This window comes from Homo sapiens, chromosome 2 (genome assembly GCF_000001405.40).
Source record: "Homo sapiens chromosome 2, GRCh38.p14 Primary Assembly".
Classification (NCBI taxonomy): Eukaryota; Metazoa; Chordata; class Mammalia; order Primates; family Hominidae; genus Homo; species Homo sapiens.
The window spans coordinates 26,667,459-26,678,759 of record NC_000002.12 but is presented as its reverse complement, the minus strand read 5'-3'; the positions used below and the strand labels follow the sequence as shown (position 1 = coordinate 26,678,759).

The following is an 11,301-nucleotide window of genomic DNA, read 5'->3' as shown; positions in this document are numbered from 1 at the left end:
GCAGGGTATCCCTGACTCAGCTACAACCAGCAGAGAGATGCTGATGTCCTCACTGGTCCTGGACCTCTGCTGGAGGTGGAGCTATTGCAGTGGTCTGGTCTGGCAGGAGCAGAGGTTATGGGAATCCCTATTTGACTCTCATTTTGGCCAATATACCTTAAAGTATGCTCATAGCACAAAGGTTCTTTGAGATGTTCTGCAAAAGAAAGAATCCTGTGCCTGCTCTCTGGTCTCGGCCACAGAAGCAAGATGATGAAGGGAACATCATCGTTTGGAAAGCGTTGCAATAAGACACACGTTGTGCCACTGCTGTGGCTGTAAGGCCTATCACCTTCAGAAGTTGACCTGTGGCAAATGTGGCTACCTTGCCAAGTGCGAGAGAAAGTATAACTGGAGTGCCAAGGCTAAAAGATGAAATACCACCCGGACCAGTTGAATAAGGCACCTAAAAATTATATACCACACATTCAGGCATGGATTCCATGAAGGAACAACACCTAAACCCAAGAGGGCAGCTGTCGCAACATCCAGTTCATTTTAAGAATTTCAATGATTAGTCATGCAATAAATGTTCTGGTTTAAAAAAAAAAGAAGAATCCTGTGCCCAGATACACTTGGAGAACTCAGTACCACCCAAATAGTTCTTAATTGCAAGCAATGGAGGCCGACTTTCCTAATTTAAGCTTAAAAAGGATTTATTCTAAAGATCTTGGGTAGCTCACAGAATCTCCTGTGGGGTCAGAAAAATCAAGGTCAGAGGCAAAGTAGCCAGGAGCAACACCCAAAGTCACATTGTATGATAGATCCTGGGAAGACCCTACTGCTGCATAGACACCTTAGCTTGTGCCACTAGCTCCATCCACCCTGCCTCTAGGACCACCATAGCCCCTGCCACCACAGCTGCTGCCACCTCCCTCACTGCTACACAATGGGCTCTGCATAGTCTCACTTTTCTGCATCGTGAGTTTTGGATCCAAATCCTGGGGAAAATGCATGTGACTGGTGGAGGGAGGTCACCTGCCTCCCACCTAGCTGCAAGAGAGGCTGGGACAATGTGGATTGGCTTCATAGAGCTTCCATTCTGGGTTCAGCTTCTGGCTCAAAACATGGGGCAAATCCTCAAACATGGGAAGGGAGAGCAGATGCTGGGTGGCCCGAAAGAATGACAAATGTTCTCTACACTGTGGCCCCTGAACACCTCCCTGGAGTTCTATGCAACACTCTAGGACAAAGTTTCTCAGTCTCAGCACTATTGATATTTGGGCCTGGATACTTCTTTGTTATGGGGTGTCCTGTGCATTATAGGATGTCTAGCAGCATCCAGGCCTCTACCCGTTAGATACCAGTAGTACCCTCCCAGTTGTGACAACTAAAAATGTCTAAATACATTGACAAGTGTCCCCTAGGGGACAAATTCACCCCTGCTTGAGAACCGCTGTCTAGAAGATCTGAAGGAAATTTGTAATACATTTGGGAATCAGGACGGGTTTGGCCTGATTTCCCAAATTTATTTGACCATGGAAAAACTTTTTTCTCTAACACAGGAAATGCTGGGCTGGTCAATGGGAAGCCGGCCGTAGGAGTGTCTTTGTCCATTCTTTATTGCTTTAAAGAGAATACCTGAAACTGAGTAATTTATAAAGAAAAGGAATTTATTATTTTATTTTTAATTTTTTTGAGATGGAGTCTTGCTCTGTCACCCAGTCTGGAGTGCAGTAGTGCAATCTCGGCTCACTGCAACCTCTGCCTCCCGGTTTCAAGCCATTCTCCCTGCCTCAGCCTCCCAAGTAGCTGGGATTACAGGCACCCTCCATCACGCCTGGCTAATTTTTGTATTTTTAGTAGAGACGGGGTTTCATCATGTTGGCCAGGGTGGTTTCAAACTCCTGACCTCAGGTGATCCACCTGTCTCGGCCTCCCAAAATGCTGGGATTACAGGTGTGAGCCACTGTGCCAGGCCAAGAAAAGGAATTAATTTCTTAAGCTATGAAGACTAAGAAGTCCAAGGCTGAGGGGCTGCTGAGGGTCTTCTTGCTGGTGGGGACTCTATGCAGAGTCCCTGGGTGGTACAGGGCATCACAGGGTGAGGGGCTGAGCGTACTAGCTCAGATCTCTCTTCTTCTTATAAAGCCACCAGTCCCACTCCCATGATAGCCCATTAATCCACTAACCCCTTAATCTATTAATCCATGAATGGATTAGTCCATTCATGAGGGCAGAGCCCTCATGACCTAATCACCTCCTAAAGGCCCCACTTCTCAATACTGCCACACTGGGGATACAGTTTCCACATAAGTGTCAGAGGAGGGAAACATTCAAACCATAGCAAGGATTTTCATGGGGGTGGGAGGTTGCACAGGCCAAATGGCACCCCAGATCTTCCTGCCATCACCTTCCCCACTTGCCCACCTCTCTGAATGGGCTGGAGTCTCCCTGAGGTCAGCTTTGTGGAGGCCCAGGCTCTGGGCAGTTGGTGATGATTCTAGGAAACATTTCCAGGGTCCGAGGGAGGAGCCCAGAGAATGTCATTCAGCGTGTTAAGTTGGTCTTCTCTCCTTGGCTGTGAACCTGCCCTGCAGGCACAGGTACCTCCCCAACCACCAGCCAGGAACACTGTCTTGGGAAAAAGCAGCATCCTGTGCCTGCCCACTGTGGCCTCCTGTGGCCCTCCTGCATGGCTTGACAGAGGCCCCACAAGACTCAGGCTCCAGCCCAGCTGGTCTCCCTCTGCAGGCCCAGCCTCTCAGGCTGTCCTCCCGACAGGTTCCAGATCAAGGCCCTTATTGCTGCCCAAGGAATGCTCTGGATGCAGGGTCAAATGTGTTGGCCCCAACCCAGGAAAAAGCCCTACCACTGTGATGCAGAATGAGGGGTTACAGGCTCCTAAAGTGTGGGCCCTGGCCTCCCGGCCTGGCCTTTGGGAAGGAGCTGTTGGCGTTGCTGCCTCCAGGCTGGAGTGACACAGCATGGGGATGCGTGCGTTGCTGGCACACTCAGCTGTCCATTCCAGGGACTTCTGTGAGCTGGCAGTGTCCCCACATGGATGGCCCAGCTCCCTCCTGCAGCTTTTTTTTTTTTTTTTTTTACATGGAGCCTTGCTCTGTTGCCCAGGCTGGAGTGCAGTAGCGTGATCTCGGCTCACTGCAATGTGATTCCCCTGCCTCAGCCTCCCAGGTAGCTGGGATTACAGGTGTGAACCACCACACCCAACTAATTTTTGTATTTTTAGTAGAGATAGGGTTTCATCACGTTGGCCAGGCTGGTCTCGAACTCCTGACCTCAGGTGATCTGCCCACCTCGGCCTCCCAAAGTGCTGGGATTAAAGGAGTGGGCCACAGCGCCTGGCCACAGTTTCATCTTTGAAACTCCCCCTTGCAGTGTCTTCCGGTGACCTTGGCTCTTAACCTTGGGAAACTGGTTCAGTGGAAACAGGATGGTGCCAGGCTTAGACAAACCTGTGTTGGCTCTACCTTGGACATGTCACCTTCTCTCTGAACTTTAATTTCACTATCTATGTAGATTTATTAAGAGTGATTTTCCTTTCCTTCATTCTGTATTTTAGGTACTGACTGATGGCTTCTGGGTCATAGAAGGGGGGCTCCCTGAAGCCTCTGAAGATTCACGGCCCCCACGCTCTCGCCCCCAGGGCGCATCTTCATGGGGCAGGGGAGACAACTGGAGTGAAACAAAAAGGCTCGAAAATGCGTTGGATCCCAACCAGCCAGAGGATGCGCCAGTGGAAAATTCCTGCTGTGTGTCAGAGGCCCACCTGGCCCGGGGGACAGCCAGCCAGACACACAAGCCCCAGAGCGTGTTTAGACAGCGCTTTCCTGCTTCGGCCAGAGCTCACCCTGGCCCTCACCAACGCTCATTCTGGGAAAGTAGAGTGGGCCAGGCCCTCGCCTAGGCTCAGGAAAGCTTCTGCAGCTCTGTATCTGGAGCAGGGTCTTGGGGACAGCAGCATGAACTTTGATAGAAAAGATGGGCAGTAGGAGCTCCAGTTCAGCCTCAGATCTGCCCTGAACCCGTCTCTGGGACGCAGGAGTAACCGTGTCCTCTCCGTGGGCCTCAGGCTCCTCATCTATGCAGCACATGGGGTGGACAAGGGCGTCTAATGAGCCTTCACCAGCCCCACCCTTCTGCTGGTGCAGAGCCACAATCTCTAAGGGATCCCACATCTGCCTATGGAGAGGCCAAGGCTCCTTTCCTGGGCAGAACCAGGGGGGCAATTCTCAGAAGCTGCCCTCAGAGACTTAAGCTCAGCATCCGAGGAAGGTGGCCCAGCGGCTGTCTGTAACTGTGGGACCCATGCCTTTGAGAGTGTTCTCAGCACCCACTGAGGTTCGCCGGTGTGGGGGTGATGAATCTGGGAGGAGAAAAAGGTAACCCTGAGCTACAGGGTACAGGATTTGTCCAACACTGTAAGGGGAAGGCCTTGAATCTAGAAATGCCCCAGGGACCAGACCACATGCTCTAACGTGGTCTGAGCAGGTTACTGGGCCCACCACGGCCGTATGGAGTGGCCCTAAGACTTTGCACAGACCCCGTACTCACAGCTCCAGCCATCTAGGGGGTCTTGTGCCAGGCAAAGGCAGCCTGGGAGGTGGGGCATGGGCATTCCAAGCCCTCATAAGGGTTGAACACGTTGGCCAAGGAGGGTCTGCAGGTTCCCCTCTCTTTGGAGCTTGATTGGCCCTGTCTGGGATAATGGTCAATTCACCAGGGCAATGTCACCTGGGAGGTCCCTTAGTTGATGCTACCTGACCTACTAGACTACCTGTCCCTACCCCACTAATCACCTCTTCTTAGCTCAGGTTCCCACAGCGAGAACCACTCTTAATGCCTGTTACCACCCCACTTAATACCAAGAGGACATGACAAACTTTTCAGGGCCACCCCAGCTTCCAAACTCTGCCCCCTGCCCCCCACCCCCTGTCCCTTGACCCTGACATCCCCAGCTCATCTATGTATAGACCACCCCCTGGGCATATACTTAAAGGAAAGCTCTGGATGACATCACACACAAGCCAGGGCAAAGAGGAGCCTTGGCCCACACGACCCACTCTGGCTGGTTGCTTGTCCCAGCACATTGGAGGGGTTTCCAGACCTCATCGCAGCCTGTGCTTCCTTCCATCATTTGATCTAAGGCCAGATCAGTCCTTTCTCAGAGTTCTCCCAGTCGCTCAGAAAAAATGGTCCCTTTCCCAGATTCTAGGTCTGTTTCTCTCTGTTCCAGGTCAAACCTGCCCTTTGCAAAGTGCCTGCTGCCCAGGTTCTGCCCAGAAGCCAGCTGCAGGTAAGCTGCCCCTCCCGAGGTGGCTCCAGAAACCTCTTTCACTCAGGAATCCCTTCTCCTGATTCTTGTTCTCTTGCAGTCTCCAGTCCATACTCTTCCCCCTTGTGCATTGCTAGGGGCTCTGCTGGGATTTGGGTCACCCCAAAATCTCTTTCTTGCCTCTTCTGAGAACCACAGTCAACATCACAACGTGCACCTGTGCATCTCCAGAATCCCAGGGCACTCCAGGATGAATAGATGGGAGTGTGCGCACATGTAGGTGAATGTGTGTGCACATGTGCACACGTGTGTATGTGTTTGTGTGTAAGGGCACGTGTGCACGCGTGTGTGTAAACTCATGTGATTTGGGGATAATCTTGGCTTCTAGAGAGAACACAATGTCTCTCTCTTACAAAAGTTCCCCAAAGACCTCTATCTCCCTCTGTCAAAGTCAGCCAGGCCGGGTGAGTGCAGGTTTCAAGAGGGTACCTGAGCTCCCTCTGGGCCATGTCACAGAGCAGGCCATGGTTTCCAGGAGCCCTGGGCCCTGCTGCAGGGCCCTTTGCACCCCATGCTGCTTGAGCATCAAGACAAGGAGGGTTGAGCCCCAAATATCCTTACTGGGGGTGACGGTGGTGGAAGGCAGTTTGATACCGTGGGTAAGTCTGAGTTCATGAGATGCTATTTAAAAACAATCATCAGGTGATTGACTTTCTTTTCCAGAGCGTTCCTTTGGTCTCACAGCTCAGCATCCTGATTTATGGGGCACAGGATTCCAGCAGCTCTGAGAAGCATTCTGGTTTCTGCTGGGCTTAACTCCTGGGGAGAGGCAGAAGGGAGGGACTTGTGCTGGAATGTTAGGGGTTGGGAACCGAGGGAGGGGAGCTCCATGGTGGGGCTGGAACAGGAGCTCCGAGATGTTTCTACCGGCCTTCGGCTATAGATCCTTGGGCACAGGGAGGTGGGCTGGGGGCCCCAAGTCCTGCTGGAAGCAGCGTCCTCATAGCAGACAGGCTCCCTGGGTGAGCAGCTCCTCACCACTGGTGAGGCGCCAGGTGCTGTTGCTTACAAAGTGAGTTTCTCTGTTACAAAGCACGGCCACATTCACTGGAGTCACGGAGAAACTGTGTGTGCTGGGCACTCACTCTCTCCCATTTAACAGATGAGAAAACTGAGGCCTCAGGTTAGGAGTGGCTAAGTGGTGCATCCAAGGCTCTCACAGCCAGGAAACAAGGGAGCCAGGCTTCAAACTTGCGCCTTCTGATTTAAAAGTTCAGCCTCTCTCCATGAGCACAGTACACCTCGTTACCCTCAGCAGAGAGAAGAGCAGGGACCACTGAGCTTCCAGGCAGTCAGGCTTGGGTTTCAATCCTGACTCTGCTAGTATTGACTGTGAATTTGGACATGTTTCTCAATCTGCTTTCTTATCAATAAAGTGGATACAGTCAGTGATGCACTGGAGCTGACTCTTCCACTCCAGAAAGTCAATTGTATGCATTTCTCCCCAGCTCTGCATTAAGTAACATGAGGCCGCTTAGCTTGGAAAGGGCTAAAGTGGAAGCATTGACACCACAGAAATGGGCAAACACTACAAATCGGGACCTTCCTCCCCGGCGGGCTGGCTGCTAAGCATTTCCCTGCACAACCCTGGGGATAGTTCTTACCTCCAGGTCTCAGTAATGAGCTTAGATAAAGTGTGTAAGGTTCTCACCACAATGCCCCGATTCAGCAGATGCTCACAAATGATTAATAAGAGTAAACATTTTACATTTTCTGCAGCTTTATCATCTTTTATTCCTTTATTCACTTAGGAAAGTAATTTGGGCAAGAATGACTTTTCTTCATCCTGTAGATGAGGACGATGAAGCTCTGAGGGGCACAGAGGTACTAAGTGGGGCCCAAGTCTGAACCAGGATCTTTGTACTCTTCACCTTAGACTCTGTCCACAGCCCTCAGCTGCCCTCTCACAGGCCAGGCAATTTAGAGTCTCAGAAATAAGAGCATCCCAATGCCAGGAAGAATGTTACAGATCACCTGTCAGTGACGCAAGCCCCTCATGTGACCAACAAGGAAACTGTTGCCCAGAGAGGGGAATGGACAAGCCCAAGGTCACTCAGCCAGCTATGGCCAAGCTGGACTTTGGATCCCAGATCTCTGGATTCCCCATCTGCATCTCTCTCACTGGATCAAACTGCCTTTAGACCCGTGCACTGGGGTGGGACTGTCCTATTTGCAGGGCATGGCTGCTGCCCAGTGGGAGGGGATAGGATGGCTACTGGGGCAACCACCGCTTGTCCACCCTGAGGAGAGAAGGTATAAAAATAACGCTACCTGCTCTTCCAGTTCATCAAGTTATATGAAACTGTCTTGGGCATGCCAAAGCATTTGTAAATGTAAGTCACTGACATTTTGTCAACCAGCAAACCCTGAAGAGCTAGATCTTCCTACAGGCTCATCCATGGGCCTCTGTGGGCAACAGAGCACTGGGATTCATGGGCCGGGGCTGAATCCAGCTCCAGAATCCCCATGACCCTGCTCATCTTCCTCTCTCCCTCTCTCCCTCCCTCCCTCCCCTGCCTTCCCTTCTTCTCTCCTTCCTTCCCTCCTCCCTTCCCTCCTTCCTTCCTTCCTTCCTTCCTTCCTCCCTCCTTCCCTCCCTCCCTCAGGTTAGGAGTGGCTAAGTGGTGCATCCAAGGCTCTCACAGCCAGGAAGCAAGGGAACCAGGCTTCAAACCTGCGCCTTCTGATTTAAAAGTTCAGCCTCTCCCCATGAGCACAGGCAGCCCCCCGTTACCCTCAGCAGAGACAAGAGCAAGGGCTACTGAGCTTCTAGGAAGAAGCTTCTAGCTCCTTCCTTCCTTCCTTCCTTCCTTCCTTCCTTCCTTCCTTCCTTCCTTCCTTCCTTCCTTCCCTCCCTCCCTTCCTCTCTCCCTCTCTCCCTCCTTCCCTCCTTTCTTCCTTCCTCCTTCCTTCCCTTCTCCCACCTTCTCTAGAGACCCATCCTTGGGCTACTGGAGCCTGCTTTCCCTGCAGGCACCAGAACAGCCTGGAAATTTACATCCCTGGGTGCCCTCTAACCAGTGACTAAGGATGTGGGGGTGTGGAAGGCTGGGACCATGCCAGTGTTTCCTGTGAGATCAGGCTGAAGCCTCCTCTTGGGGCTCGACTTCAGGCCGAATGCCTAGTGGGCCTCCTCACTCCCCCTGCCCTTCCTCCCCAGTCCCTTACCAGCGGCCCCTGTGAGCACTTCCTAAGCAAATCCTCATCTCAGGGGCTGCTTCTGGGGAGCCCAACCTGAGACACCCACTTTACTGTTTTGCAATCACTTACCACTACTTGACATGATGCTATACTTTCATCTGTCTCCCTCCACTAGAATATGAGCCCCATGGGGGCAGGGACTTGATCTATTTTGTTTAACCGTGCACTCCCAGGCTGGAGCCGTGTCTGGCGTATAGGAGGTGTCCAAAAGATATTTTGTGGGATAAATATTCTCAATTAATTCTCACAATGACCCTGTGAAATGAAAATTATTATCCCCACTTTACAAATGAAGAAATAGTTTCAAAGAAGTTAAATAACTCACATGGGCTACACAGGTTGTATGTGGCATAGCCAGAATGCCAAACTCTACCTGTGTGCCTCCAGACCAAAGCTTAGCCTTTAAAACCCAACCCCATGTTTGCAGTTTCCAGAACATTCCAGGCTTTTTCACACCTCCTCAGTGATGCTGAAGCTGCTTCTTTTGCAAAAATATGCTCCCCTGCCCCCACCAACTCTGAATTGACCACCACAGTACCCTTTGAGACCCTTTGCGCCCCTATCGTTCCCAGACAGATTCCCCATGGCTATTTCTGTTTCTCTTTCCTGTAATCATTTCAGATAAGGCTTTGTCTTGCATCTTTGCTTCCCTAGCATCTAGCTGGAGTCTGGCAGAAGGCCAGCAATCTGTGAATGTTTGTTGAATGAATAAAAGGAAGGGAGGGAGGGAGGGATGGAGGGAGAGAGGAAGGGAAGAAGGGAAAGAGAGAAGAAAGGAGACAGGCATTCTATACTAGGAGGGGACAGAGAGTTCGAGACCCACGTGGACAGGGAAGGCTGTGGTGGGGTGTTGTGGGCAGCCAGGGGAGTCGGCCACATCCTGGGCCTTCTTGTCATGTGGTGTGGTTGGGATAGCTCTGATCAGTCACCTTTTTAAGCTCTGGGTCTAGCCTTAGGGCAGAAGCAGGATGTATCCTGGCAGCCAGCACCCAGCCTGGTACCCAGTAAGGGCTTAGTAAGTGCTGAATGAATGAATGAGTGACAGTGTGGTATGAAAAGCAGATTTGATTTGGAGTCTGAGTCTGAGGTTTGAGTACTGATAGCCTCTTTTCCAGCCTTTCCTCTCTATTCCCTGGCAGCTGCCTTGGTTCAAGTATCACGTGTCTCCCCAGACATCATCTCTCCTGAGGCTGCTGCTTAAATGAGCCTCTTACAGGAGGAATTGCCATGTCTCTCCTTTCCTGGCTTAGCAAATCTTGTTTGTAGGGTATCGTCAGACTCTACAGGCTCATCCTTGTGCATCTGTGGGCAACAGAGCACTGGGATTGATGGGCCGGGGCTCTGTGGTTCAGCCTATGAGGCTCTTCAGACAGTGTAGAGATAAGAAGATGGATGGCCCCTGGGGCCCACATCCCTGGGCTTGAGTCTTACTTCCATTACTTTCTAGCCACATGGCTTTGAGACGGTCTCTTAACTTCTCTCTCTCTTTTAGACAGTGTCTTGCTCTGTCCCCCAGGCTGGACTACAGTGGCACAATCATGGCTCACCATAGCCTCGACCTCCTGGGCTCAAGTGATTCTGCCACCTCAGCCTCCCAAGTAGCTGGGACTACAGGTGTGCACCACCACACCCAGCTAATTAAGAAAAAAAACTGTAGAGGGGTCTCACTATGTTCCCCAGGCTAGTCTCAAGCACCTGGGCTCAAGCAGTCCTCCTGCCTTGGCCTCCCAAAGTGCTGGGATTACCACGGCCAGCTGATTTCTCTTTATATCGTCCCACTCTAACATAGGAATCATGACAGTAGCTTTGTAACTGGGATGTTGTACATGTTCAATAAGTTAGTGCTTAAGATAGTGCCTGGCACACACGTTGGCCGTCAAATGACTACCCTTCTGGCCAAATCAATCACTGTTTTGGCACCACCTCACCCTACTCCCTTGCCACTGCATGCCTGAGTGATCCACAACAACTTGTGGTTTCCCAAACACTCCAGGTCTTCCCATGCCACGGTACCTTTTCTCATGCTGTCTCTTCCTGGGATACACACTTGCACTGTTCTCCCTAGAAAAATCTTAGTCATCCTTCAAGTCTCAGCTCAAATGCTGCCTCTATGTCTGTGAAGACTTTCTGGACTCTCCCAGGACATCCTGGGGGCTCTCTCTGGAACTTCTGCGCTGGGTACTGAGGCAATAATCTGATTGCGTTGGAACTGACTGCTCACCAGTCTGTGTGCCTTCAAGCTTCAGGCCTATTCCTAAGCCATCTAGCCAGTCCCCAATACAAATGGGCCTTGGGCATGATCCAATATTGTAGAGACATAAATTCTCCTAAAATTAATCTATAAATTCAGTAAAATCCCAATAAAAACTTAACAAGAGTTCTAAAAATGTAACTTTACAAGCTAATTCTAAAAGTCATCTTAGAAGAAAAAAATGCACAAGAATAGCCAAACAAATTTTGACACAGCAAGAACAATGAAGAAGAAACAGCCCTTCCACATACAAATATTTACTGTAAAGTGATGAATGCAGAGTGATGTTGGTATAATTCAATCAATGGGACAGTAAAGAAACAGATACATGGAAATGTAGTGTATGCTAAAGGGGCATTTTTAAACCAGTACAAAAGGACTGGCTATTCAAAAATGGTTTGGGAGCAATGGTTTGGGGACAATAATAGATTTCCCACTTGGGAAAAAATTAACTTAGATAATATATTGGTGATGGCTTTGCTTCCTGCAAAGAGAATTTATTCTAAATATTTTA

At 50.6% G+C, this 11,301-nt stretch overlaps 1 pseudogene, besides 3 other annotated features; it reads left to right on the top strand.

Moving 5' to 3' along the window:
• On the top strand, nt 223-587 carry RPL37P11 (ribosomal protein L37 pseudogene 11; annotated as a pseudogene).
• Nucleotides 6,065-6,359: a silencer, noted in NCBI's record as "tiled region #9124; HepG2 Repressive non-DNase unmatched - State 21:Repr". NCBI's record gives its function as "represses a minimal TATA promoter and a strong SV40 promoter by Sharpr-MPRA in HepG2 cells {active_cell/tissue: HepG2}" and the evidence as "EXISTENCE:reporter gene assay evidence [ECO:0000049][PMID:27701403]".
• Nucleotides 6,613-6,802: a silencer, noted in NCBI's record as "fragment chr2:26894826-26895015 (GRCh37/hg19 assembly coordinates)". NCBI's record gives its function as "represses an EF-1alpha promoter that drives an FKBP-Casp9 reporter gene in an ReSE screen in phorbol 12-myristate 13-acetate-treated (for megakaryocytic differentiation) K562 erythroleukemia cells {active_cell/tissue: K562(+PMA)}" and the evidence as "EXISTENCE:reporter gene assay evidence [ECO:0000049][PMID:32094911]".
• Nucleotides 8,442-8,943: an enhancer, noted in NCBI's record as "H3K4me1 hESC enhancer chr2:26892685-26893186 (GRCh37/hg19 assembly coordinates)". NCBI's record gives its function as "activates a minimal SCP1, AML or CMV promoter by ChIP-STARR-seq in naive H9 embryonic stem cells {active_cell/tissue: H9 hESC(naive)}" and the evidence as "EXISTENCE:reporter gene assay evidence [ECO:0000049][PMID:30033119]".